Raw genomic sequence first — 26,958 nt, forward strand, 5'->3', positions numbered from 1 at the left:
CCCCTGCCCAAAGTGCATCCGTGGTCCCTCAGGCCTGGGTGGCTGCAGACTCAACCCACGCTAGCCCAGTGCCACACGGTGGCCCAAGGAGCAGCCAGACTGGGCAGTAGAAGGCGGCTTTGTCATTCTAGGGGTCCAGGCCATGTCCTAACCAAGCACCGCCCCTTTAGTGCTGAGCCAACTCTGTCTCATCTCACTTTGCGGGACTCTGGAGTCTCCCCTCCCTGACCCTTAAGAATCCAGAAGCCTCAGGTGCCTGGCAGAGCCCTGAGCTGTCCACCTCGCGGGCCGGGGTTCAAGGCCCAGGGGGCTGCCTGCTGTGCAGGGCTCGAGGCAGGGGTCACTGAGCCCCCTGTTCCAAGCAAGCATGGAACCAAACAACCCACCCTCGAGGAAGCTCTCAGAATGTGCTGAAAGCTGCCCACCGACCACAGGACGGTCCTGACCCCCATCGAATGGCAGCTCTCTGCTCCACGGCACCCCAGGCCCTCCCATCCCAGCTCTCCCCTCCCTCACGCCAGCTACCCCGTGACCACAAGCCTATTCCTGCCCCAGGGCCTTTGCACTTGCTGCTCTGCCCACCTGGAACACCTTCCCCACTTCTTCCCACACTCTGGCACCTCCAGAGACCCAGCGCCTGCCCTCTTCCTGCCACCCAGCTCTGTGCACCCGGTGCTTGGCCCACCTCCAAGCCTTTGCCCGAGCTGCCCCCTCCCTGCACCCCTACCCACCACCTCCCACCCAGCCCAACCAGCAGCAGAACCTCAAGCGGGAGAGGAGCTCCCAGCTGGGGGCCCAGGCTTACCTTGGTGAGGTCTTCAGATCCCGCAGGCTGGCCCGTGGCCAGCAGGGGTGACGGTCGCAGCAGGGGGTCAGGCAGCAGCTCTAGCCGAGGGCGCTTGCTTTCAATGAACTCCATCTCTGACTTCCCCAGCTCGGGCAGGTATGAGTGGGACTCTGGCCGCAGGTGGAGCTCCTGGGACCTGCAGGAGGTGAGGCATCCAACGTCACATAGGAGATTGCGGCTCTGAGAACTCCCGAGGCCCCGACCACCCTCTGCGCCGAGCATCTACTGCGCGCCGTGCTCTGTATGATCCTGCCAGGAAGGTGCTCACAGGAGCCCACCTCCCACGGTCCCACAGCAGGGCAGGACTCCAATGCAGCGCTGCCTTCCTTCAGGTCCACATTCACCGAGGACATTTACAGGGAGGGAGTGTGCTACGGTGGCACTGGAACACCCCAGAGTGACTGCCCCTCCCTTGCTACGGACCACCCCACCGTCCCCACCTGGGGCTGGCTACAATGCAGAATCTCCAGTACCATCTGAGGCCTACTGAGTCAGACTCGGCATTTTAACAAGATCATTGGGTGGTTCACAGGCACAGTCCATCCGGGAAACGCTGTGAGCCTAACACAGATAACAGCACCCGTGATGCCATTTCCCTCTCACCCACGCAGGGCAGACATCGCTGGCCGATCGCAGAACTCTTGCTGCTGAACCTGGCCTAACCACCTTCTCAACTCAGCCTAGCAGCCTGGTGCAGAGACTGGAGCTGCCCAGTTTCCCCAGCGACTGGCTCTCCTGAACCCTCCTCCGCAGTGTGCCTAGAGAGGGCATGGCCTTGCCTAACTAAGCACACCCCACGGAGCTGGGACTCCTGGCCTCCACCTCTGAGGCTCCAACCATCACCCACCAGAAAGAGCCTGAATATGGGCCTTGCTGAAATGCTTTTCCCAGAGGCTAAGCAGGGAATCCACAGCTGTTCCCCTCCTGCACAAGCCCTGCCTGGCCTGGCCCTCGCTGTCCCGCCACTGCACTCCTGCCCCAGGGCCTTTGCACCTGCTGGGCTCTGCCTGGAGCACTGAGACCTCAGGCCCTCCATGTGAGCTCCTCCCCTTCCTGTCATGGTGCAGATGGCGCCTCCTTGTCCCAGGCCAGACCACACTACACCCGCCTGTCTGCTCTCTCTCCACTGCCCTCCCACGCGCTTGGTGACAACAGGTGTTTCCTGGCCACCTCCCCCACCCATGAATGAACGCAGGGTGGTTCACCTGTCTTGTTCATGGCTGTCCCCAGGTACTGGCGCACAGTAGGTGTTCAATCAGTGCCTGTAGACTGACTGAATGCTGCCCACTGCAGCACGGGCTGGGGCCGTGTTGCTGGCCCCCCCGGGGAGCGGGGCAGCCACCCCTCTGTGCTCACCTCCCTGGAGGGCCCTCAAGTCCTTGTCCCTCCAAAGCTGGGCCCCAAGACATCCCCCTCTTCAAGGCCCAGAACCCAGGGCTTCACCATTACATGGGGCTTGGCAGGAAGCGCATGGTGTTTTCTCTTAAACATGATAGTGGCACTGCAGTGGCTCAAATAATGTCCTCCCAAAATCCACGGCCACTGGAACCTCCAAATATAACATCCTCCCAAAATGCACAGCCACTGGAACCTCAAAATAAGACCTTCTTTGGACCTAGGGTCATTGCAGATGGAATTAAGCTAAGATGAGGCCATCCTGGATTAGGATCACTGGGATCCTTGTAACACAACAAGAGAACACAGAGACAGACAAGGAAATGGCCACGTGAGACAGAGGCAGAGGCAGAGGCAGAGATTGGACCGATGCAGCCACAGCTGAGGAACGCCTGTAGCCCCCAGAAGCTGGAGGAGACAGAAAAGCATCCTCCCCTTGAGCCTTCTGAGGGGGCGCGGCCCTGCGGACGCCCTGACTTCAGATCACGGGAATGCACTTCTGTGGCTTGAAGCCGCCCAGTTTGTGGCACGTTGCGACGGCAGGCCCAGGAAACCAATCCAGGTACAGAAGGCACGCTGCCTCGGCCTCCCCTCCTCCAGACGCCTGCGCCCACCTGAGTTCACCAGCCCCGCCTGATCTGGGGCCCTGGGACACCTCCGTGGTACCATGAAGGGCTGGGGCCTGGTGCCTCGACTTCTAGTCCTGGCTGAGTAAACAAGAGCCCATCCCTCAACCTCGCAGCCTCAGCTGCCCCATCTGAGAAATAGGCACAATTCCCCACACCTCAGCCGTCTCCAGCAGAAGCTCCTAGAGAAGATGGGAGAAAGAACGTGGCCTACCGATCCCAAGTGAATGCATGGAGAGCTGGCTCTGACCCAGCCCTGGCCCTCCCCTTGCTGTAGTCCCTCCAGCTCCCCACCCCACCTCCCTCCCACTCCCCACCTCCCTCTCACCCTACCACCTAACCTGTTCATTCCCTTCCCACCTGGATCAAGGAAAGTAAGGCTGGCCCAGCACAGGCACACACCAGAGGGTGTCCTCTGCCAGCTGGAGAAGAAGGAAGAATGGGAGGAGAGGGCAGGGGCCCCAGGGGCACCAGGTGTGGACTCAAATCTTCCCACAGAAGCCCAGCCCTGCTGCAGCCCAGCTTGGAGGTCCCCACTGCTGCCTAAACCCACAGAGGCCACTGAAGTTCCACGCTGGAAGTCTGAGGGCCACGTGGCTCTTCCCTGCTCGTCCCATCCTCACCCCGAGTCACGCCCACGCCAGGTCAAGGGTGAACACACGGCCCGACATCCCCTCATTTCACAGGACCCTGTGTGCTCCTGCTCTGCCACGGGCCTCTGCTTCTCCATCTGAGAAGGAGCTCTCACGCCCTGGACAGGGAGGCAGCAACTCTCTCCTCACCGTTCATTCCCGGGCTGGAACTCAGACAGCAGGGAGGGCCTCCGCCGCTGGGGCTGGATGATGGAGCCGGGCGACAGGTGGGAGGCATAGTCGCGGGAGTGGTGCTGGTACTCCAGGAGCCCGACGTCCTGCAGGAGGGGACAGAGGAGTGGTGAGCGTGGGCGGGCACGGGCATGGCGGGGCACGGCAGGGCACAGTGGGCAAGGCCGTGGACTCCCTGCTCAGGCTCGCTCCTGCCCTAGGCAGATAAGCCCAAGTCCTGCAGGGAACCTCAGGGACCGTCTGGCCAGAGGCTACCCTTGGGGCCGAACACCAAGGAGGAGAAAGAACACAGCTGAACGGCCCTGGGCTGCATCCTTCCCACACAGCATCCCAGGGACCCACGATCACGCCCACCTTCCAAATGAGACTGCCAAGCCTGGGAGGTCTGATGGGGCTGTCTGAGGCCACAGGCTAATACAGGCCTGGAACCATCCTAACCATGGCCTCTGTCTGCCGGCCATGCTGGCGTTGACTGGGGGGCCAGAGTAGAGGAAGCTGTCTTCGCTTTTCTACCCTCCCACCCCATCCTACCCCTGCCAGGCTGTGGGTCCCTCCAGCCTGAGGAGCTGAAGCTTGGAAATGCAGGCCTGGGAAGACAGGACTGAAGGTGCATACGGGGCAGCATTATTTGTAAAAACAGAAATGCATTTGCAGCAACAACTGGGAAAAGGCCCAACCTAGATGCCCAGCTCTTGGCAGGGTGGGTAAGTGATGCCCACGCGAGGGAACGAGGCTCGGGCCTCACTCGCCAGGAGAAGGATGGATGGTGGCAAGTGATGGCGACAAACACCCGACAGCCAGCGAGGCCCAAAGACCAGGTTTCAGAACAAAGCGACCCCTGACCCCAAGGCCGCCCTGTAAAAGAGGAACTCCCCGCTCGTATCACAGCCAGAAGGGTAAGCCTTAGGCAGACCTTCCTCCTTTAATAACACACCGTCGTCCATTTGACAAAGACTCTCCTTGCCCACACCTGAGTCAAGCTCCTCTGACCCATCCTCTCTCTACGGGGCCTCGGCCTTGGCCTTGGCCTTGCGGGGCTCTGCCCAGCTGCAGGCATCCTGCTAAGTCAGTCTAGAGGAACCCCCCACCCTCAAGCGCTCCTCTTAGTAATTTTCCATCCACCGACCCCTCCCTCCGCCCTGCGGCTAGGCTATGAGGCCCCAGCTGTCTTGGCCGTATTTGGCGCTGAGCCTGGTCTCTCTCCCTTATCGTGACAGTCTTGACGCTGATAGCACAATTGTCCTGTACGGTCTTCCTGCTTAACAAGAGTCCAAATACTTGTTTCTTTAACACATTATCCATTATCATAGGGGGTAAAACTCAATATCAACAAATTAGATGTATACCAATTGCCAAGTACACCCAGATTTGAGAAACATTAAACTGTGTTTAAAAAAAAAAAAAAAAAAAAGACAGTAACAAGCCTCTCAAACAAAAACAAGACAGGCTTCACTTACGCACCAATTCCAATAGATTAGTTCTGTCTGCCTGGAACACTCAGTGAGGCTGTTTGCGGCAATCAGTTAGTGATGTCTGACAGGTAAGGCTTTAGAGAGTGGGATTACAAGGGACTTCGTCTCTTCTTGGCACCTTTTTTTAATTTTCCCAATTTTCCATAAAAATCTAGTCACTCTTTTGTTGTCTGGCTTTTTCAACAAGGCAGTTATTTTTGCAAAGAGAATCAGAGACAATGCCAGGTGGGTGCGTTGATAATGTATCTGTTGCAGACCCAACAAAATCAGCACATAAGAGCCCGGGAGCCCAGAGGCCAGGAAGGATGAGCAAGTGGAATCCATGGGGACCCTGGCAGCCTCAGAAGCTGGAAAAGCTGGGGAAAGGACCTCCCTGGACAGTCCGATGTAGATACCAAAAGCTGCAAGGCCTCCAACAGAAGGTGTGTCTTTGGCCCTGTTATTCTAACCCTCTGAGCCTCAGTTTCTCCTCTTTGAAATGGGTGCCCAGCCCAGATTAAAGGAGGCCTGCACCTCCTACACTCATCTCCCTCACCTCTCTGAGGGATTCCCCCAAGGCTGAGAGCAGCCTCCAGAAGGCAGAAAAGGCACGAGCCTCCTCCTGCATCCCACAGTGTCTAGCACAAGACTCTAGGTGCTCTCAGTGGGAGGAGAAGGGAGAAGACGGGGCTGGAGGGAGGGAGTGGAGGAGGCCACTGGGCTGACAATGACGCAGCTGCCAGGCAAAGACCTTGCCACACACACAGAGGTGTGAGAAGAAAGCAGCAGGCCTCACAGTCTGCCAGGAGGATCCTCTCCACCCAGCTCTCCCATACCAAGGCCAAGTGGGCAGAGAAGCAGGGCGGACGGTCCAGTCCCTGGGAAGAGGGCCTCGGCCCGATAGTGCCCACGGCAGCCAACCATGGTGGAGGAGGCCCGAAGTGGGGGCTGGGGAGGCCTCTGCATGAACCCTTTGGCCTTCGTTTCCCAATTTAGGAGATCCTCCTAGGAGCATCTTGGGTGCCGTTTCTGCCCAAAATCTGTGGGCATTTTGTTACTGGACCCTAAACCCTGGGAGACACTCGGTCCACACTGGCCCCCACCACTAGGCTTGAAGCAGGTCACCAGGGTTGAGCCCAGGGACTCCCCCAACAAGAGTACCTGGAGGCTCTAGGGGAAGGCAAGAATTGGGGAGGCCCCACCAGAGAAACTGACCTGAGGTGGAGCCCAAGGGGTCCCATGAGCTGGAATACGCCCAGGCTGGAAACCACCTCGCCACGTCTCCAAGCAGGAGAGCTCCCCAACGCGACAACATTAATCATAAAAAACAACAATAATACCCCACAGTAATAAATTGCCTTTGTGTACCTGCAGCTAAACGCTCTAAATATATTAGTTAATTTCATCCCTACAGCAACCCTGTGAGGTGGGTATTACAAGAAGCCCCACACAAAGACGAGAAAACAGAGGCACAGAGAGGGTAAGTGGCTTGTCCACGTCACACAGCAATAAGGGGTACGTTCTGAGATGCAAGGCAAAGGCTGAGCTGGCTTTCTGAGGAGGGACAAGAGGGGACAGTCCCCAGGCTCTGAACCTGTCCCTGTAGGACAGCAGCAAACCTGACTTGGGCAGAGGGAGTCTGACCCAGCTGCTCAGAAAGGGAGGCAGGAAAAAGCCATTCAGGTGATGCCCCCTGGCCTCAGAGGGTTCTCCCTGACCATGGCACCTCTGAAGCTGGAAATCAGGGCCACCAATAAATTACACCCTTAAAACTCCTGGGAAAGGTGAGAGGCCACCAGAAAAAGCCATTCATCCAGGAGGGAATCCCAGCTGGTGCCTTCTTGGCTGGGTCCCAAGGGTGGGGAGGAGTGGCTGGGGGCAGAGAGGAGAAAGGGGCTAGATGCGGGGGGATGTTTGAGCATGGACTGGGAGAAGTTCCTTTGCGGGAGAGGAGTGCCCCTCTCTGGCCCCTGCATAGGGCTCCTTACTCCAGAAGGTGTCAAGGGAATGCCTGGGATTGCACACTGAAAGGAAAGGAAGAATTCAGCCCGTTCCTGGACCCTGGATTCATGGGAAAGCAAAGGAAGAATTCAGCACATTCCTAGACCCTGGCTGCATTCACGGGTCTCTCCCGGAATGATGGCGGCTACAGTCAAGAGAGCTCCCACCTCAGGACCTTTGCACATACTGTTCCTGCTGCCTGGAACATTCCTCAGCCAGATTCCCACATGCCTGGCCCTCTCCCTTCCTCCAGGTTCAGCTCCAAAGGCAGCTTCTCAGTGAGGCTCCTCCCCGACTCTCTACTTAAATCTGGGCTCCCCCAACCTCAGCCCTTCCCCTCATCTCCTTCCCAACTCGCCATTCCCCACAAGGAGGTCAGCTCCCTGAGACAAGGATGCTTACCTGTTCTGTTCACAGCTGCACTGCAAGGGCCTGGAAGAGGACGGGCCCGAGACGCCTGATAAGTATTTGCCAGATGGATGGATGGATGGATGGATGGATGGATGGATGGATGGATGGATGGATGGATCTCCCAGCATGGGAGCTCCCAATGAATGAATGAATCTTCCCCAGCATGGGAGCTCCCACCAGCCTCTCTTTTGAGGGCCAAACCATCCCTCAACAGCCTCTTAAGAGCCATCACCAAGCACCAGGAACTGAGCTGCAAGGGGGCCATGAAGCTAATGGAGAGACCCCCCCCAGGGCACTCAGGACACTGCAAAGCCTCCCAAGTCTAGCCTCTTCCAGTGATCCCCACGCGCCCACCTGCCCCAGCCTGGCCCAGGCAGTCTCCAGGGTCTGGGAGCCTTAGCCCAGGGCAGTACTACTCCACCAAAGGTCTGCAACGTTGCCAACTGCAACGAAGTGGGCACAGAACATGACAGCATGCAGACCTCTGGGGTTGGCGTGACCCTGGCATCCAAGGGCACAACCAACTCTGTCTGACCCTGCCGGACTGGGCCTGGCTGAGCCCCTGCGTCTGTGCAGTGGGACCCCATATCGATTTGTGACAAACTGGAAATGAAACAGACCGGTCCTTCCCATAGGGAGTCTGATAAGAGCTAATCTAGGCCAAGAGGCAGCACACTAGGGCCCAAGGCCAAGGCAGCAGCGTCCAGTGTCACAGGCACAGGCCACGCCCACTCCCTTACACCCTGGCTGAGCTGCTTTCACACCATACGGGCCGCGAAGGGCGGTTGCATGGCCTGCAAAGCCTGAAATATTTACAGAGAAGGTTGTGCTCACCCCTGCCCTAGGGGCAAAGCCCAAAGTGTACCCTTGGGGCAAGACAGAAAAAGCTACTAAAGGCGATGTTGTAATAATAGCATCGTCATCATTACATTATTGATTATATCAAATGTCTGCTTACTCTGTCCATACCCTGTGCGAAGGACTCTGCACCTACCAACTAATTGGATCCTCACAATCTTAAAACTATCCTTGCTCAACTGATAGGGAAACTGAGGCACGGGACGGTAAGGCCACTTGCCCCCTGTTTCACAGCTAGGACATCACTGGGGCAGGATGTAAATGCAAGCAACCTGGCTCCAGAACCGGTGCTATGAACCAGTCTTCAATACTGCGGCATAGAGAGGTTAAGTAACTTGCCCAAGGCCACACAGCAGAAAAGAGTCACGCTGGGATTCAGACTCTGTGTCCCTGCTTTTAACTGCATTCCTTTAGCCCATTCGTTTAGCCCAAGGTCTGGAGGAGCTCAGGAGTGTTCAGGGGTCCCAGAGGACTTGAAGAAGAAGGCAGAATGCAGCTGGGCCACAGAAAGCCTGAAAGGAGGCCAGGAGAGGAGGAGGCGTTGATCTCCGGGAAAACAAAAGCTGTGAGCATTTTGTTACTGGACCCTCAACCCTGGAGACCCTCGCTTCCCCAGGACCCTCAGGGAGAGTCATAGGATCCTGCTACTGTCACGGAGAGAAGCTGGGCCCCTGAGGATGGAGAGAATGAGGCACAGAGGGATGCGGCAGGTAGGAAGCGGGAGGGCAGGGATGATGCATATAGAAGCCTGGAGCATGGCTGAGGCTGAGTCAGGGAACCTGGGGGCTTTCCATGGTCTCAGGGTCCAGGCCTCTGTCTGCAAGCACCCAACTAAGTGAAGCCTCCCATTTGTGCTGGGAATCACTCACCAGCAGCCCGCAGATGACGCCAGGGCAGAGCACAGGCAGAGGCAGCGGCTTCCACGGCCTGCACCATTCCACCGCCAGCTCGGCATCCACGGTCCTGTGGTTCCCCAGGGGGAAGAGGCCCTGCTTGGGTCTCCTGCCACCCTTCCAGGAGGAAAGAGATGACTACCCCGCGCTTGCTGCGTGCAGACATTGCCACCGATGCACAGACCCACCAGGACACCGGTACTGCAGGTGGGGAAACTGAGGCCGTTCCACGTGGCTGTGAGCGGGCCAATGCCACTCAGCAAGCTGAACACGGAGAGGGTTCGAAGCCACACTGAGGTCTCACAGGCTCCAGGGAAGACCTGCCATCAAAGCAGCCCCGTGCCCAAAGCACCAGGAAGAGGACTCTCCAGACAGGAGGAGCTGTCCCAGGAGGTAGGCCTGTCGGGAGTATGCGTGGAGGTGACCTGAATCTGGGAAGGTCACTGAGGCATCCCGTGGATCCCAGCAGAATGGCCTCGGCTACTGTACGAGGAACCAGGACAGCCAGGTTCCCGCCACTGACTGTCCCCTTACCCGGGGGGATCTGTCTTTCTGTGGCTTGATGAGGAGCTCAGGAAGGGGGTAGTATCTTTCGAACTGGGTCTTGCCCTTTAAAAGGACAGGAAGGGTTTGAGGGCTGAGGGGCTTCCAGGGAGGGGCCTCCAGATCACAGCCCCCAGCTCACCTCCAACCCACAGCAAGAAAGCGGCTCCACCCTGCAATATGCCCAGGGCAGCAGGGCCCTCCTCAGAGTGCCCAGAACTCTTCCTCCTGCCCTTCAAGAGACAAGCAGGATTCTCTGGATGGGCAGCCCTACCATGAGGCAGGAGGGTCCGATATGGGGCAGCTCCCCCAGGGAGGAGCACACACAGGTGGCCCCTGCTGCCCCCACACAAGGACAGACATGTTCTCACCTGTGGCCGCCAGGCTGGGCCCCACTCACTCCCTGGCCTCAGCCTCCTGCCTGGAGGGGGCGGTGAGCGCTTGGCCCTGTCCACCCACATCCTGCGTCACTGACGGCCCAGCAGGAGAAGAATGGGAGGTGTCTAGGGTCAGCCAGTGACCCCGAGGGCCCAGTTGGGGCAAAGGGCAGGAGGGGTGGGAGAGCAGAGGCCACAGCAGCCTGAGGACTCCCCAAGGCTAGGAGCCGGGTGAGGGCGGTTGAGAAGAGTGGGAACCTCCACAGGACAGGACAAGAAACCAGAAGCCAGCAGCACCCCCAGGGCAGGCAGGTTCCCCTCTGGGCAGCTGCAGGTACAGCAACAAGACCAAGGAACGGCAGCAGCAAACGGACAGAGCGGGCTGGCCCTGAGCCAGGCGCCATCTTAAGAACATTCGGCATATCCCCTTTACCCCTCGTGAGAATCTAGGAGACAGGTACTCTCAGTACCCCCACTTTATGGGTGACAAAACTGAGGCTCAGAGAGGTTACGTAACTTGTCCAGTTTCCTACCCTGTGAAATATTTTCCCATTGACAAAATACAGAGCATGATAGTCCCACTCTGGGGTGATCAGGGGAATGCACACAACCATATACACTCAGGGCTTTGAACAACATTTGACCCATAGTAGGTGCTCAGTTAACAAGAGCTCTTCTTTTTGTTGGTGGTGGTGACAGATAAAGACAATGATGACAAAATATAAAATCATTTCCCACTGGGAGTCTATTCCTTAGCCCCAGGCACGCAGTAGGTGCTCAATAAATAGAGGCACGGGGGAGTGGGGGGACACAGAAGCTTGGAGCCCCGATGCTGTGGCAGCCTCCCCACTTAGGGCAATCGCACCTGAGGCCTGTGATTTAACCTCTTGGGCCTCAGTCTCCTCATCTGCGAAGTGGGATGAGAGCGTGAGCTGCTCTTTCACAGGGCCGCCCAGGAGAATGCAATGACTCTGCCCAGGGAACTGCCGTCCTAAGAGGGATCCACAACGCACCCACTGAGGACAGCTGACTCTGCAAAGCGCCCCAGGGGCCCAACCTACAGGAGGCCACTGTGTCAGGGACTCCCCCAGGCAGGGCCAGTGAGCTTATATGCAAAACCTTCTGCTCACTGATGGAAACGTCCTCCCACACAGCTTCCTTTCTGGTTCTCACAAGAGGGGACCACACCAGCCAGGCAGGACAGACACACACACACACGCACACACGCACCCCCACGGTGGCCGGCAGGGTCAGCTTCACTCCAGCTGTGACCTCCAGGCCTCACATCCCCTCACTCAGCAGCCAGGAGGTCACAAGGGGGAGGCCCACAACTCTGAAAGCCGCTTGGCAAACACCCAGAGACATGGTATACAGCAAGCACCCCATAAATGCCAAAGGAGCGAAACCAAGGCCCGTTGTCCTGGCCACACCATGCAGTGAGAGAAGAGGCAGGAAATGGGGCCCCCGCTGGGAAGTGGGGTGGGGTGGGGTGCGGCTTAGGAGACCCGACCAGGGCACACATGTGGGCAGGCAGCGAGGCCCACCTGCTCCCAGGGCAAGCCATCTGCCCTGGCCACAGGGCGGGCTCCCCAAAGACACAGCCAGCACCCTGGACCCTCATGTCAGGGAGGCAGAAACGCAACCTGTGTGGGGCCTCCTCACCTCAGAGCCTCGAGCCGCACCAAGGTGAATACACACGGAACGGGAGGACAGGAAGGAAGGGGAGCTGTGACCTATCCGGCCCCCTTGCCCCCTGGAAGCCACCCCAATCCTACCCAATACTGCGGCAGCGGGGGAGCAGAGGTGAGGCTAGGCTGCAGGAAAGTGAATACAGCAGGAGCTCCACATTCGCGTGCCAATCCCACTACCAGTCCAGAGAGGGCAGAGCCCCAGCTCAGCCTGGCCCCAGCCTCCATCTTCCCAGCTTTAAAATGGGAGCAAAGAGATTTTATCAGATATTCTGGAAAAGGCTTCAGACACCAGGGGTCTCTGTGGCGGCCTCCCCTCTGCCCTGGGAGGCTCAGAGCCACATGAGCCTGGCTCCCAGGAGAAAGGAAGGGGTGAAGACTCAGTGGAATGGAAGAAGGGTCTCAAAGGTAGCCCCAGGCGCACACATGTGCACCCCCTTACCGTGTGCGTCCGGGCGATCTGCACTGGGTAGGAAAGGCTGTGGGGCGGGTAGCGGGGCTCAGTGGCCCTCCACGTCTGTGCCACAGGCTGTGTGGATCCCGACATGGTGGTGGGGGTCGGCGGGGAGCTGCTCCCAGGCCCCAATAAGCTTTCTCTTAATCACCACCAAGGATTAAAAGCCAGTCCTCGTCATCAGCTCACGGGCCACCCCGTCACTGGCACCTGCGGGAAAACAAGAAAAGAAAAACAAGATCAGCCACGGGGCAGCTGGCTCCTCCGTGCACAGGTCCCCGAGTCGTTCCTGTGGTCCCGTGAGGACACGCGAGCACCCAGGGGCCTGCCTGGACCCTCCTCCATCCACTGCCACACTCACCTGTTCTCCGGGAGCACAAGGAGACAGGCATGGCATTCAAGGTCCCTCCGAGCCATGCAAGCCACGCAAGGGACCAGAGGCCTCCTCCCCACCCAGGCCTTCACCCGGCAGGCACAGGGACTCTGCGCTGCCCTCACCACCACCCAGATGGCTCCCAGCCCCCCTAAGCCCATCCAACTTCACTCCATGGCCCCCGGGTTTCTAAGTCACAGGGCAGAATTCCCAGAAAGCACCTGTCCCAGGAGGGGCGGCCGGCAGCAGGGACATCACACACCGCTGTCCCGGGCAGCAGGGACCAGGGCCAGCTCAGGCGGGCCACGGGCCACAGGCCACAGCATGACCTGGGCAAGGCTATGACCCTGTGCAGGAGGCTGACACCATGACATGGGACAGGACTGATATGAGGTTAGCCAGATGCAAACTAGGAGGTGGGATTAGGACATGGAGGGCTACACCAGGAAGAGCCAAGGGCAGAATGACAGCCAGTCGGGCCCTGCAGCCTAGGGATAGGTACCCCAAACGGCTCCTGGGGCAGATACTGGAGCCTTCCACGGGAGAGGATCTACTCGTGGCCACGCCAGAGGAATAACACGAAGCGGGCTAGCAGCTTTACAGATGGAAAAACAGCCCCACAGAGAAGACACGGCCCAGCAAGGGAGCCACGGGGACCCCTACTCCGAAGCTGCCTTTGCCAGGAAACCCCTAAGCACCCCCCACCCCCAACAAGGCTTCTCCCCTTCCTCCGCCAGCCACAGCTCCACGCCACCTGCTGGGCTTACAACAGGGTCCCATCCCAGACCAAGGCCCCCTCCACACTCTCCCTGAACCAGTCCCTCAGAAAAGGTGTGTCCATCAGGTCCTGCCTCATGCAAAGCCCTCTCCAGCACCCCCACAATTGCACACACCCCCCAGAGCTGAGGGAAATGCACCCTGGCACCGGGACCCAGCGCCTGGATGTGGGCCTCCAGTGGCGGAGGACTGAGGCTGCACCACACGAGGTCAGGGGTCAGGAGGGGAAACAGAGCATACCCAGCCCTGCAATTTCATCAGAACACCCCCTCCCCCAACCTGAAGAGGGTAACCGTCCTTCTCCAAGCAGGAAAGCCCTTGGAGGCCTAATGTGGAGGGGCATTGGGAGGAAGGTTAAGGTTGGGGGCCCTGACTGCCTCCCAGGCCCCACCTCATCTCTCATTAGTGTAGACTTGACCCTCCCTCCCTCCCCAGGTGCCAGGGATGGTCATGTGACCCGGTCCTGGCCAATCAGAGTCCTGCATGCTTCTGGGCCAGTGACTGTCTCAAGGATGAGCCTGTGACCCAATAGGAGTCAATGAGAATCTGCCTTGAGACTTTTGCTGCTGGAACCAGGAGAAAGGTGCTCTCTGCTGGGGATCTAAGCTGGGAATGAAAGCCTGGAGCTCTGGGGGCCACCATGCAGCAGGAGCCTGCCTGAGACCCACGCCCACCGGCAGGAAGGCAGGGCGAAAGGGCGGTAAGAGCAGGTTGTGTCCGATGGTGGCTGGAGGCAGGTCGAAGCCTGCTCACTTCATTAGGGGAGCCAGGGCACTCCTTCTGCACGTTTTGTCTTTGGCAGCCCAAGCTGGGTTTCTGTCACATGCCACCAAGAATTCGGGCTCACACAGGGAAAGAAGGAGTCACAGAGGAGGCCACCCCTTCAACTGGCTGCTGTCCATCCTTCAAACACAGAAAAGCCAAGGAATTCCGGAGCCAAGACTGACACATCTACCACCACCTCGGTCCTGCCTGCGTGGGCTTTCCCAGCCCCGAGACAGGATGTATGGCGCAATTCCCGTGAACATGGGAACACGTCCCGCTCCACCATCGCTAAGCTGCGTGGCCTTGGGCAAGTCACTTGCCCTCTCTGAACCTCCAAACACACAGTGTTCCCTAAACATCAGACATTCATGTGCCACCCCCGCGTAGGGACTTTTTTATAGAGATTACCCAGGCGACAGCCGTCTAGCCCCGGGCCTGTCACTTTCATTCAGTTAGGCATAACTTTACATACAAGAGAAGCTTATTATCAGCATAGGTATACAGAAACCCAGTACTATGTGGAATAAATAGGAAGGCATCGGAATCACAAACGCACTCCCACACACATGAAGACGTCTGTGCATATTCCGACTGCCTAAGTCCTCCTGCAAGGACCCCAGGAAAGGCCGGGTGGCGGACAGCAGGCACTCAGCAGCTCCCAGCACACAGTAAATGCTCAGCAAACCAGAATGCCTAATACTGCTGTCACCAGGACTGTCAATGATGCAGCTGCAGCCCAGTCACCAGTGACGCTATGATGGGGAGGCAAGGCACAGCTAGCCCTGCCCGGCCCCAAGAGCAATGAGACATCCGTTCTGCAGCCAGAAACAAGAGTCTGGCCCTGGGAGAGAGAACAGCTGTGGCCACCAGGACCCAGCCCTGTTCTAAAATTCTTCCTGCTAGAGCTCGGCTCAAAGTCTGCAGACCCTGGTCATCTCATGCAGCAAAGCAAATTCTATTCCCTTCTCTCTAGGTGCTAAACAGTTCCCGGTCTCTCGGAGGAGATAAGGCCGTCACTTCTGCAGGGTGCTGTTCCCGAGGTCTGCCCCTCTTTCAAGGGCACCACGGGCAACTTCCAAATTGCTATTGGATTTTGAGTTGCACAAGGTGGCCGAGAGGTCTCATTTACCCACAGCTTTTCTTTCCTCCTTTGCCCAGTGAGATGCTGCCTGGGGGTGACAGGCCCCTGGCACACGCTTACCATGGTGCACACGGGCACCAGAGACCAGGGAGGGTGACACCGTCCTAAAGTGCCCCGCAGCTGGCTGGCTGGCTTTCCACTGCCTGGGATTTACACAGTGCCCACCCCGGAGCATGGGGCTGGAACCTCGGCCCCTCACCTACCAAGGGGTTCCCCCACCAGCCCCCCACCCAGCGCCTCACATGCCGGTGGGGCCTGAACAGGGAACAACTCCAGTAACCTCGTGCCACCCTCACTCACCACGAGCTTAGGAAACCCAGTTTCCAACCCCTCCCGACCTGAGCCACGTTTCCTGCCAACTCGAAAAAAAACAAATGTTAGGGAAACGGTTTGGCGGTTCCTCAAAAATTTAAACATAGAATAACCATATGACCCACCAATTCCATTCCCAGGCATCCACCCAAAAGAACTGGAAACAGGGACTCAAACAAAACACGGTATGCATGTTCATGGCAACAGAATTTACAGCAGCCAAAAGGCAGACCCAGCAAAAATTCCAGTCCATCCCTACGATGGAGTATTACTCAGCCATAAAGAGGAACGAAGGACGGCTGTGTCCTACACCACACATAACCAGAAAATGTCATGCTGAACCAAAGAGGCCAGACACAAAAGGCCACGAACTGCCTGACTCCACGGATATGAAATGTCCAGAACAGGCACATCCACGAGGCAGAAAGGAGACTGGTGGCTACCAGGAGGGCAGGGTGAGGCAGGAATGAGGCCTGCTAATGGTTACAGGGTTTTACAGGGCAGTGATGCAAAGGTTTTGAAACTTGATAGAGGAGGCGGGTGTGCAGCACTGCGAATAGGGAAAAAAATAAGCTTTGACTTTTCATCAGCAGGTTTGGAAGTGAATGCCAAAAAAAATGATGACATCATTTCCTCAAAGATGGGGGCAGGAGAGGACGAGGGAGCCCCTCCAGGGTCTCCAGGATCTGGTCCTGGCCAAAGGAGGTTCTGAGGATGGATCCGGGCTGGAGGGGGAATTCAGACACAAACGCCCCATGTCGCCGCTGCGTCTGGCTGCGGTGGGGTCAGAAAGGGTGGGCGGCATTCATTTATTTACATACACACTGTGGTCCCTGCTGAGCCCCGGGCTAGTGCTGGGGACTTCTTGTGAACCCAGCGGGGTCCAGGCCCTGGAGGGTCTCAGGCCAGGGGCTCTGCCCAGCCCTGGGGAGAGCCAGGAGATACGAGGAAGAAGAACTTCCAGAGGGTGAAGGCGAGGGGATGGAGAGTGCTCCAGCTGGAGGCGCCGCTGAGCAAGAGCAGGGAGGTGAGCGCCAGCTGGTGGGGGGTGAGCGCAGGCTTGGGGGTGAGCCCCCGCCAGGCGGTGAGCACAGGCCCAGGGGTGAGCGAGGGCCTGGGGGTGAGCACAGGTGCCGTTTATGTTTGAGAAATTCATTGAGTGAATATGGGGGGAAGTGGGGACAGAGTCATTCAGGGCCCCATGGGCCCGGGTAAGGATGGATTTTGTTCTCAGGGCAGTGGGGAGCCACAGAAGGTGGTTGCGGGGGAGAGTAAAGGGTCAGTGTTTTACGAGCAGGCACTGGGGACAGCAAGAGTGGATCAGGGAGACCTGGGGAGGCTCCTGCAAATGTCCAAGAGAGGGGACACTGGGGGATCAGGGCAACAGCGACAGAGAAGGGGAAATGGGCAGGTGGATGAAAGTCAGGAGGGAGGCTGACTCTGCAGGCCGAGGAAACAGCTCGCTGCAGGAGTCCCGCTGCACAGGCCCGCTGCGAGGACCCTGTGCCTGTGGCATACCGAGAGGTGCCTGGGGAACAGCAGGTGCTCAGCCATGCAGAGTCAGGAGGGTCAGGCCTCCGAGGAGAACAAGACGGTGCCTGGGTGAGGTCAAGGGACTTGTAGATCTCAGGTGGCCGGGATACCCAACGGGGACACCAAGGGCCCAAGCAGGCCTCTGCACATCCAAGCCACCAACCACAGCCCCAGGGCCCCTGCTGGCCCCTGAACCAGCTGGAGGAGGGCTGCAGATCCCACGCAGGCAGGTGGAGGGGCTCCCCATGCACGGCTGCAGGGGTCTGTCCCTGGGCCATGCCTGCCAGGAGGTAGCAAACACACAAGTGCCCCCCGCCCCCACTGCACTCTGCCAGGCAGCAGCAGAAGCCAAGTGGGCCACATTCCCTGTTCCCGGCCACTGCGGGCTTTGGTAAGGTTTCCAAATCCACAGCGGAAAGCTCAGGCCGTGAGCTCTGACTGGCTGTCCGCCTTGCCTCCTGCTGGACCCAGAGCCCCTTCTGGTGCCTGGCACACAGTAGGTGCACACTGAATGACTCTGCCCAGCGGAGGTGCATGCCAGCAACGCAGTGATGCCAGAAACCACCACACCTGTGTCCTCTTCCCACCTGGCCGGGCAGAGGCGCCTTTCCGGGAGGCCCTGGAAGCTTCCATGGGGCCTCCCACCCCTGCATTCCTCTCCAGCTCCGGCAGGATGAGGCCACACCGAGACACATTCCATAGATTTTCTGTGTCTTGAGCGGCCTGGTTCAGACCTGGGGAGGGTGGAATTACAGCCTCAGGGTGAGGGGCAGGCGGGGGCTGGTGGAGGTGTGGGAGCTACAGGATGTGCCCGGAGCGCTCAGCCGCGGGCTGTGGGGAGGATGAAAGGCACGCGGGGCTCTGCGCCGCACGTGCCTGAAATGTTCTGGGAACTAATGGGTGCTGACATTGGAAGAACCTGTGGCAGGTGGGGGAGCCTCGGGATTAAAAACCAACCTGCCAGGCAGAGAGCGCCCACGGCACGAGCGCGCGCGCACGCGCGCACACACACACACACACACACACACACACACACACACACACACACTCGACAGAACCCTCTGATACTCTGAGAAGCCCAAGGCACAAAGCCCCCCTGGGGTGGGCGGAACCACGGCGGGAACACAGGCCGTGCCTCCACTGTCCCAGCCTGGCCCTGCGAAGACAGGCAGGCCCCAGGAGCCCTGCAGCTCAGCCACATACGGCCTCCCTCACCGCTCAGTAGGTATTTGTTCCACTCACTGTGGAATAAGCACCTATTGTGTGACAGCCACCGAGAGGCACGGCACCTGGCACACACGAGGCGTATTAGCGCCCTCGGCTGCCCCACCACAGACTGCATGGCTTCAAGCAACAGAAATGGATTGTCTCACTGTTCTGGAGGCCTCGAGTCCATATCCAGCTGTCATCAGGGCCCCACGGCCTCTGGGGGCTCTGGGGGAGGCCCTTCCTACTTCCTCACTCCTCCAGCTCTGGTGGCCCCGGCAACCCCCGGTGTTCCCTGGCTTGTAGATGCATCGTGCCATCCTCTGCCTCTATCTCCACGCAGCCTTTCCACTGCATCTCCTGTCTCTGTGTCTCCCCTTCTTCTAAGGGCACCCGTCATATTGGATTTGGGGCCCTCCCCTATCCGGTTGTGACCTCATCTTAACTAATGTGATCTGCAAAAACCCTTTCCAAACAAGGCCGCACTCCCAGGTTCCACGCAGACGTACCTTAAGGGAGAACACTACCTACTTCAGGAGGTGCTCCAGAAATACTTGTTTTGTTCACTGCTGTATCCCCAGAGCCCAGCACACAGTAGGCATCTAATAAATATTTACTAAACAAAACCACTGCAGCCAGTCTGGCCCGAGGAGAAGCCGGCCCGGGGGGAACTCTGGGACAGCAGTTCTGGGATGTGCGCACAAGACGCTGCGGAGCGCCAGCTCCACGGGTCGAGCTGTTGACACCTTGGGTGTTTACTTTCTGGCGTGCAGTAAAAACTGGGGAACTGGCCAAGTATCTGATGGCCACCTTCAGCAGGACTCCTGGCGCAGAACGGATGCTCAGGAATCCAGCTCTGGAGTGAGTCCTGAGATGCGGAAAGCCGGTGGGACGTGGCAAGGGTGCACCTCGCCCAGCCCAGTCCAGAGGGGCCCCCACAGCCAATGAGGAAGGGGGTGAAGAGAGAGCTCCTGCTGCCCGGCCTGGTGGCTCACTCTGTCTACCACGATTTGTTAAGCACCTACTGTGTGAAAGGTGCTGGGGATACAGCAGTGAATTACTGATCCCAAATCCCCCACCTCGTGAAGCTGCCATTCCAGCAGGTGAGACGGGAGTAAGAGGATGGCAGAAGGTGTTAGCACGATGGAGAAAAACAGAACCAGGAGGCGGCAGGCAGGGAATGGGGGTACATTTTGAAAGTGGGCAGTCAGGGGTGCGTCACCAGAGGTGCCTTTTATGCAAAGGCGCCGGGGAGAGGAGGGAGTCTACACAGCAGGCACAGCAGGTGCAAAGGCCCAGAGGCAGGACCGAGCCTGGTGTGTGAGGACAGCAGGGAGGCCTGGATGGGGAGAGTGGGGTGAGCGAAGGCATGTGAGGTCACTCTTTCTGGCTATAGCCAGAAAGCTGGGGTGTTCACTGCAAGGGAGCTAGGAAGGACACAGCTGGTGCACTTTAAACAAGGCTGACGTGCGGTCTCCTGTGGCAAGTCTGCCTCTGGCGTCTCTGTGTTCAAAGGACACTGTAGCTGCCCCTGTGTCGAGGAGCACTGGGCACAGGTGTCTGAGTGTGGGGCACAGGTAAAAGGGCCCCTGTAACCCTGAATGATGACAGCCACGATTGTCAGGGCCCTAGAGAAACGGGCCTCCACCCATGCACAGCGGCAGGCCTGCAGGAATGAGGCCAGACTCCTTGGCCCTCACTTGGCAGAAAGGTCATTCCACTCCCTAAGGAAGAGCCAGGTACCCAACCCCAGCCTGTCGTTGGCTCTGCCGGAGGGGCTGAGGGTCAAATACTAAGAGCTCAATCCCGGGTGCCACCCACAAGGGTGCGGTCTGCCCTCCAGCTGAGACCAGGCAAGCCAAACCCATCCCAAACTCCGGTTGCTGACCCATTCTCATCAATTAGAGAATTATTTCAGCATCTGTTATGTGCAAACACTGTACAAGCACAGCTACAGCAGTGACCAAGTCAGACAAAAGGCAAAAGGCCCTGCTGACCACGGCCCACACCCAGTGACAGGTCTGGCCCAACTGGCAGACTCCCCACCCAGGTGCTCAGCAGGGGGTGGCTGGATGGAGGGAGAAGATGGAAGAGGGATAGAGATGGGAGGATGGAGGAGAAAGGAGGAAGGGAGGGAGGAAAGGAGGATGGATGGATGAATGCATGCATGGATAGAGAAAGGAGGAAGGATGCATGGACTGATGGATGGATGGATGGATGATGGATTGATGGATGGATGGATGGATGGACAGAGGATGGACAGATGAATGGATGGATGGATGGACGAATGGATGGATGGATAGATGGAAGACGGACGGATGGACGGATGGATGGATGGACGGACGGACGGATGGATGGATGGATGGATGGGCGAATGGATGGATGGATGGATGGATGGACGGGTGAATGGATGGATGGATGGATGGATGGATGGATGGATGGATGGACAGACGAATGGATGGATGGATGGACGGATGGATGCATGGATGCATGGATGGATGGATGGATGGATGGGCGGATGGATGCACACACTCATCACCAGATGGGTATCAACTTAGCTGCTTCATTTTCCGGGTTTTTCTGGTCTTACATTTCTAACCAATCCCCAGGGCCAAGCATGTCTTCATCCTGCTAATATTCCCAGGCCCTCCCACATGCCCAGCTCCATGAGGGACACAGAAAGGCACTGTCGCCTTCAGGAACCCCCAAACCCATATAACTGCTCCCCAAGTCCCAGCCTGCTGAGTAAGAAGGACCCTAGGGAAAACTGCCTCCAGTCCCAAACCCAGACTCAGCGTGGGAGGGTCTCAACTCTCCCGAGTCCCCCACCTGGCACCACTTCTCCCTTTTCAGCATAAACCAGCACATCTTCCCCTTGAGCTGGGTTCGAGGAGAAAGGCCGAGAGGACTCCAGCCTGGGAATCCTCCTCCTTGACCCCGGGTAGATGTACAGGGTAGAGATACGTGGGCCAGGTTAAAGCCAGAAAGCTGGGGTGCCCGGAGCGTCTCGTCAGGTCCCAGACTTGCTCCCTCTGGGCAGTTTCCTGGGACTTGCTTCCTCACCCCAGGGTCAGCTCAGCTAAGCCCCAGAGACCAGCTCTTATAAAGAGGGATTTCACAGGAAATTTGGAATGTCTGGCTTCTCCTAATGAGGGCTGCTCACACATTGCGGGTGGGAATGTCAGATGTGCAGTGCAGCCACTGTGGAAAACAGTCACTAGGTTAAACCCAGAATTACCCCATGACCCAGCGATGCCACTCCTAGCTACACATCCCCAAGGAACGGAAAACTGGTGACAAAACAAACAGAAAGGATTAGAATGCCCACAGCAGCACTATTTACATCAGCCAACAAGCAGAAACAACCCAAATGTCCATCTACTGACAAACAGATGAAACAAACGCAGTCTGTCCATCAATGGACTACGATTCAGCCACGCAAAGGTAAGCGCTGACTCAGCCACAACGCAGGTGAGCCCTGAAGACATGGCACAAAAGGCAAAGAAGCCGCTCAGAAAGGCCACGCACTGCATGATTCCATTAACTTCACAGGAGGGGCAGATTCCCAGGACAGAACAAAGGCCCGAGGCTGCCAGGGGTTGTGGGGAGGGAGGAGAGGGGAGTGACGGTTTAATGGGTTTGGGGTTTCCTTCTGGGAGGATGAAACTGTTTTGGAATTAGACAGAGGTGGTGGTTGCACAACCCGTGAATGTCCTAAATGCAAACTAATTGTTCACTTTAGTATAGCCAAAATGGTATATTTTGTACGTATTTTACCACAAAATCGTTTGACAGGGGAAACTGAGGTTCCAGCCATGGCCGGCTGGAAGTGGGCAGAGGCTATCTACACCAGATAGGCTCGGCTTTCCCTATTTGCCACGTCCCCTCCTACTCAGCTACCTTTGTTTACATGCCCTGCCTGGCTGGTTGGACTCAATGGGGCAGGTTCAGTCTGTCTTCTCCTGAGCCTTCAGCTCCTGCCTCTACTGGCACCTCCTTGGAACCTTCCCCCAACCCCAAGGGGGCCCCCCGGTGCCATGGCCCGCTCCCCCTGCCACTCCCATGGACTCGGCCCCCTGTGCCACAGCCACCTGTTTACCGCTGTCTCCCCCACCAGGCAGGGCTCCTCCTCGGCAGTTTTAGCCGCACCTGTAGGAGCAGGAGCTATGGAGGCTGTGGGCTGCACCTGTAGGAGCAGGAGCTATGGAGGCTGTGGGCTGAGCCCCTCGGTCACTGAAACGAGCCAGTGCCCTCTCAACCAAGCCACCTCCTGTGGACACACTGCCATTCCAAAGGGCTCCCACGTGCTGATCAATTCCAAATCCCAACTCCGCCACTTCCACAGCTGTGTGACCTTGGGTGAGGTCCTGACCTCTCTGAGCTTCACTTGGAAAGATTCACTGGAAAAAAGAGCTACAAGAATCTCGGTGCAGTTCTCGGCCCACAGAAGAGCCCCCAGAAGGAGAGCGTGGCTGTTACTGCCCTCTGCCACGCCGACCACTCGGGGGAAGGAGGGAGGTGATGGCGATGATGTTAACCAAGCCAGTCACTATGGCTATCTTCGCCTTGCAGATAGGCAAACTGAGTCTGGGAGGAGCCTGTGATTCTCAAGTGAGCCCAAATGCCCCAGCCCATTATTCCTGTCTCCCCAGTGCCACGTCCTGCTCCTGCTTCCAGGGGAAAATAGGCCAGGTGCAAAACCCACCCCCAGCACCAGCCCCATCTCTCCCCTCCTCTAGAGAGGCTCCTCGGCCACTGGGAAAGCCTCTATCATTCCCCACATTCTGCTTCAAGCCCCCCAGCTTCCCCATTCCTGCACCCCTTCACCCCAGGCAAAGCAGGCCCCACCTCCACTCCAGGCCACATTTATCTCATGCTAACACCAGAGGCAGCAGACGCTCCAGTTCCATTCACCAAACACAATTCGCCCCACTGAACAGATCAGAAAACTGAGGCTCGGAAAGGTGAACTGACTTGCCCAAGGCCACACAGTCAGGATACGGGTGCCCAAACCCCCGGCCCTCCCCACGGCCCTGCCAGCCCAGGCGCCCGCCCTCAGTGAACAGAAAGGGAAGTGGCGTTGGTCGGAGCCTCCGAGGAGGCCCGTTACTGTTTCCAATATAATTGGAGCGTTCCTGTCCGCTGGACGGCAGCCAGCTCGGCCCTGCTCCCCCGCCACGGCGAAGTATGCTCAAAATCACTTCCTCCTCCCCTCCTTTTTTTTTTGTTTCCATTTAATTTTAAAAGGAAGAGAGGGAGATAAACCACAGCAGGACGAACCCTCCCTGCACTCCAGGTTCCTGTGGCTCCACCCGAGAAGCCCTGCACGGGGAGCGGCCCTCCCCACTTGCGTACTTCACAAACATTACGCCTGGTTCTGCCGCCTCTTCCTCATTAAGTTCCGGGCGCCCCAGGAGGGACGTGTTTTCCATTAGACCCATCTCCTCCATCTGGCCTTCCCAACAGCAATCTTCTCTGCAGAGGGAAGTGAGGAGTCAGAGAGGAGGCTGGTGTCTGGGCAGTGGGGAGGGAGACGCTGGCACCAGCTGTGTAACCTGGGCAAACCACTTAACCCCGTGCCCCTGGGCTGTGACGGCAGGAGAGAGGGAGGCCATGCCAGAGTGGGGCTCAGGGAGCTGGGTGGCTGAGCTGGGGCTGAGCTCCTGGACAGCACCTGGAGAGGCGGTGGGACCTGGGGTTTCTAAAGGATGCGGACGGGGTTGGGGTCCTGGGTCTTCATCCGTTTTGCTTCATGGCTAAGAATGAACCAACAACCCCAGACTACATGGAACACAGCTCCTGACATTATGCTGAGTGACAGAAGCCAGCCACAAAAGGACAAACACTGTGCGATTCCACTCGTAGGAGGTGGCCAGAGTCACTGAATTCATAGAGACAAAAAGGAAAATGGCTGGGACCAGGGGCTGGGGAGAGCGAGGAAGGGGGAGTTACTGTTTAACAGATATAGCGATTCAGTTTTGCCACATGAAAAGTGCTGGAGATCGGTTGCTAAACAATATGGCTATTCTTAACACTACTGAATTATCTACTTACCAATGGCTGAAGGTAAATTTCACATTATATGTATCTACCACAATTTAAAATTAAACAACACCTCCTCCAGGGAGACCTCCCTGATTGCTAGTGTTGTGCTTGTGTTGTTCCGCGGTGGCCCCAAAGGCTCAGGCTGCCCCCATAAAAGGCAAAGTGTTGCCAGTGGCCCCGGCACTCAGCAGGCCCTCAGAGCCGAGTGCAGCATGCGTCCAGGCCTTGTCTCTGGCCCACCTCACCTCAGGACCCCATGACGGCCACAGGGCATGGCTGGGCAGCGACTTGCACCTCTGATCCCTCGGAAGCGCCCGATAAGCTGAGCTCTCCCCTCGCCAGCTGCCTCCAACCCAGGTGGCCTCAAGGCCAGGGCCCAGGGAAGGGCTGACTGCTTCAGAGGGGCCCCTGGACCCCAAAACTTGAGGCCAGGGCCAGAGCCCTTCTCTCTGCCCACCAGTCTGCAGTCTCTGTCCCACCCGCTCATGTCCATGCCCAGACCCCGAGTGTGAAGGCGGCCTCCGCAAGGTTCCCACCGACTTCCCTGCCTCCAACATCTGGCAAACACATCCACAGCTGTGCAGCTGCCGGAAACGCCTCCTCCCGCTTCTCCTCCATGCACGCAGGCCCTCAAGGATGGCTTTCTGAGGAATTTATGGGGTCGCCTCTAGTATTTCAGGGTAGATCCCTGGAGGCATCCACCACATGTGAATGAGGACAAATGTTTCTGCTGCTAAGAATAGCTGTGCCAGCAGCAGCGTCCAGGGCGACAGAGCCCACCCACTCAACAAGGGTCCCCTCCTGCCTCCCCAACCCATCCCAGCCCCCAGCAAGTGGCCAGGCTGGACCACAAAGGGCCTGGATGGGAGGACCCCACTGCCGCCTGGGCTCCCAGGCTAAACGGGAAGAATCCACTTTACGTCAGCTCTGTCCAATGCTCAGAAGTGGACGCATCTGGGCCATTCAATTACCCCAGGGGCATTGATCAATAAATGTCTGATGACGGGACAGTGATCAAGAACCCAAAAGGTCCTATGGCCCCTGCAGCCAGGAGCTCAGACAGTAAACAAATGCTTCAGCGCCCAGGAGTGGCGACGGCTGAAGCTAAGCGTCTACCTGGGATCGGATGATCCACCCGAAGAAGGGCAGGGACAAAAAGCAAGAGGAGAGCTGTAGATACCCAAGACCCTGCCGGAACACAAGGGCCCAGGCAGGCACCACGCCGAGGGGAGGGGCCCGCAGGAAGGGGGTGACCGCAGCTCAGCCCCAGCCAACACTGAGCAGAGACCCAGGAATGTGGCCCCCAAACATTCCTGATGTTCCAGACCCTGCTGGAACAGGGTCCACGTGGGGCAGGGGGTCCACGGCATCCAAATCTTTCCAGCAAAGCCAAGAAGCCCAATTTTGAGACATCTCCCGATATTTCTAAAAAAACACTGACTATAAAACCAACCCAATAAATCAGTCTGACAGCCAAATACAGCCCAGGGGCTGCCAGGACATGACCTGTGGCTTATGACGTGGTCACTGGACGCCACAAGAGAGGTGAGGGAAGGCTGGGGAGCTGAAGCGGGCTGATGGGGGGACAGGAGGTGGAGCGCCAGCAACGGCTTGGAGGGGGGACCCAAGAGGCCCTCAACTATTAAATATAACAGGAATGAAACTTACCCAGTGACTCATCGGCGCCACCTGCTCCACCCCAATGGGACACACACACACTGGCCATGAAAGGCAGGCCAGGCAGGGACCCCAACCTGGCCCCATCTCCAACACAGGGAGCAAGACACAGTGTCTCTGCCCACCCGGCCCCACTCCGTGCATGCCACACCCCAATTTCCCTGGGCAACCACCCCCCCTGCACCCTCAGTCCTGGGGTCTCAGGGAGGCTGACCCAGCCCTCCAGCCAAAGTGGCACTGGCTTTGGTGGGGGGGGGGGGGGCTTAACTCTGAACTCTCAAGCTGAGGCAACAAAACTCATTCCCATGATATTTGCTGGAATATTGGGAACAAGAAGCTGTCCTTCCACTGGGGCTACTGAACTGCAATTATTAGTCTCAGGCTAACAGGGACTGAAAGTGGGGAGCACCTGGACCCAACTGTGCCTGAAGCTTCTCTGAGGTTTTTTAGTTACTTGAACTATTTGTGCTAAATGCAGGAGGCAGAGGGAGTCTGTCCATTGCAACCAAGAGACCTAAGATAGCAACCCTCCTAAAACACAAACTCTCAGATAGGATCTCCCTGGAATCAGATCTCTTCCACCCGCTAGGTCCCTTATCCATGTAGGTGAGGACAGGTCCAAAGCCAGCCAAGAAGAGGCCAGAGAAATGGAATGGGAGACCCAGGCCAGACTCAGTGTAGGGGGAAGGGGCCAGGCAGGAGCCAGGGAGAGGCCTGTCCTGTGTCACCCTGAAGGGAAAGTGGGTGGCTCCCAGTCCCTT

The 26,958-nt window shown here is 57.8% G+C and overlaps 1 protein-coding gene across 3 annotated transcripts in view, besides 10 other annotated features; it reads right to left on the reverse strand.

Annotated features, from left to right (window-relative positions):
* The window catches only part of NCOR2 (nuclear receptor corepressor 2), a 243,198-nt gene that overhangs the window by 158,376 nt on the left and 57,864 nt on the right, over positions 1 to 26,958 (reverse strand). For all 3 annotated transcript variants that reach the window (NM_001077261.4, NM_001206654.2, NM_006312.6), the window contains exons 3-5: positions 12,357 to 12,578; positions 3,651 to 3,778; positions 806 to 983 (exon numbers count right to left, since the gene is read on the reverse strand). In NM_001077261.4, coding sequence (NP_001070729.2) covers positions 806 to 983; positions 3,651 to 3,778; positions 12,357 to 12,461 — 411 coding nt within the window. In that variant the 5' untranslated portion in view covers positions 12,462 to 12,578. The remainder of the gene's footprint in view (positions 1 to 805; positions 984 to 3,650; positions 3,779 to 12,356; positions 12,579 to 26,958) is intronic.
* Positions 8,069 to 8,569: an enhancer, noted in NCBI's record as "H3K4me1 hESC enhancer chr12:124975405-124975905 (GRCh37/hg19 assembly coordinates)". NCBI's record gives its function as "activates a minimal SCP1, AML or CMV promoter by ChIP-STARR-seq in naive H9 embryonic stem cells {active_cell/tissue: H9 hESC(naive)}" and the evidence as "EXISTENCE:reporter gene assay evidence [ECO:0000049][PMID:30033119]".
* Positions 12,200 to 13,159: an enhancer, noted in NCBI's record as "H3K4me1 hESC enhancer chr12:124979536-124980495 (GRCh37/hg19 assembly coordinates)". NCBI's record gives its function as "activates a minimal SCP1, AML or CMV promoter by ChIP-STARR-seq in naive H9 embryonic stem cells {active_cell/tissue: H9 hESC(naive)}" and the evidence as "EXISTENCE:reporter gene assay evidence [ECO:0000049][PMID:30033119]".
* Positions 13,160 to 14,118: an enhancer, noted in NCBI's record as "H3K4me1 hESC enhancer chr12:124980496-124981454 (GRCh37/hg19 assembly coordinates)". NCBI's record gives its function as "activates a minimal SCP1, AML or CMV promoter by ChIP-STARR-seq in primed H9 embryonic stem cells {active_cell/tissue: H9 hESC(primed)}" and the evidence as "EXISTENCE:reporter gene assay evidence [ECO:0000049][PMID:30033119]".
* Positions 13,773 to 13,902: an enhancer, noted in NCBI's record as "active region_7290". NCBI's record gives its function as "activates an Ori minimal core promoter by ATAC-STARR-seq in GM12878 lymphoblastoid cells {active_cell/tissue: GM12878}" and the evidence as "EXISTENCE:reporter gene assay evidence [ECO:0000049][PMID:35858748]".
* Positions 21,653 to 22,852: an enhancer, noted in NCBI's record as "CDK7 strongly-dependent group 2 enhancer chr12:124988989-124990188 (GRCh37/hg19 assembly coordinates)". NCBI's record gives its function as "activates an origin of replication core promoter dependent on BRD2, BRD4, P300/CBP, MED14 and CDK7 cofactors, with strong dependence on CDK7, by STARR-seq in HCT116 cells {active_cell/tissue: HCT116}" and the evidence as "EXISTENCE:reporter gene assay evidence [ECO:0000049][PMID:35650434]".
* Positions 21,739 to 22,326: an enhancer, noted in NCBI's record as "NANOG-H3K4me1 hESC enhancer chr12:124989075-124989662 (GRCh37/hg19 assembly coordinates)". NCBI's record gives its function as "activates a minimal SCP1, AML or CMV promoter by ChIP-STARR-seq in naive and primed H9 embryonic stem cells {active_cell/tissue: H9 hESC(naive and primed)}" and the evidence as "EXISTENCE:reporter gene assay evidence [ECO:0000049][PMID:30033119]".
* Positions 24,677 to 25,262: an enhancer, noted in NCBI's record as "H3K27ac-H3K4me1 hESC enhancer chr12:124992013-124992598 (GRCh37/hg19 assembly coordinates)". NCBI's record gives its function as "activates a minimal SCP1, AML or CMV promoter by ChIP-STARR-seq in naive H9 embryonic stem cells {active_cell/tissue: H9 hESC(naive)}" and the evidence as "EXISTENCE:reporter gene assay evidence [ECO:0000049][PMID:30033119]".
* Positions 25,575 to 25,789: a silencer, noted in NCBI's record as "fragment chr12:124992911-124993125 (GRCh37/hg19 assembly coordinates)". NCBI's record gives its function as "represses an EF-1alpha promoter that drives an FKBP-Casp9 reporter gene in an ReSE screen in phorbol 12-myristate 13-acetate-treated (for megakaryocytic differentiation) K562 erythroleukemia cells {active_cell/tissue: K562(+PMA)}" and the evidence as "EXISTENCE:reporter gene assay evidence [ECO:0000049][PMID:32094911]".
* Positions 25,851 to 26,436: an enhancer, noted in NCBI's record as "H3K27ac-H3K4me1 hESC enhancer chr12:124993187-124993772 (GRCh37/hg19 assembly coordinates)". NCBI's record gives its function as "activates a minimal SCP1, AML or CMV promoter by ChIP-STARR-seq in primed H9 embryonic stem cells {active_cell/tissue: H9 hESC(primed)}" and the evidence as "EXISTENCE:reporter gene assay evidence [ECO:0000049][PMID:30033119]".
* Positions 25,964 to 26,073: an enhancer, noted in NCBI's record as "active region_7291". NCBI's record gives its function as "activates an Ori minimal core promoter by ATAC-STARR-seq in GM12878 lymphoblastoid cells {active_cell/tissue: GM12878}" and the evidence as "EXISTENCE:reporter gene assay evidence [ECO:0000049][PMID:35858748]".

This window comes from Homo sapiens, chromosome 12 (genome assembly GCF_000001405.40).
Source record: "Homo sapiens chromosome 12, GRCh38.p14 Primary Assembly".
Taxonomy (NCBI): domain Eukaryota; kingdom Metazoa; phylum Chordata; class Mammalia; order Primates; family Hominidae; genus Homo; species Homo sapiens.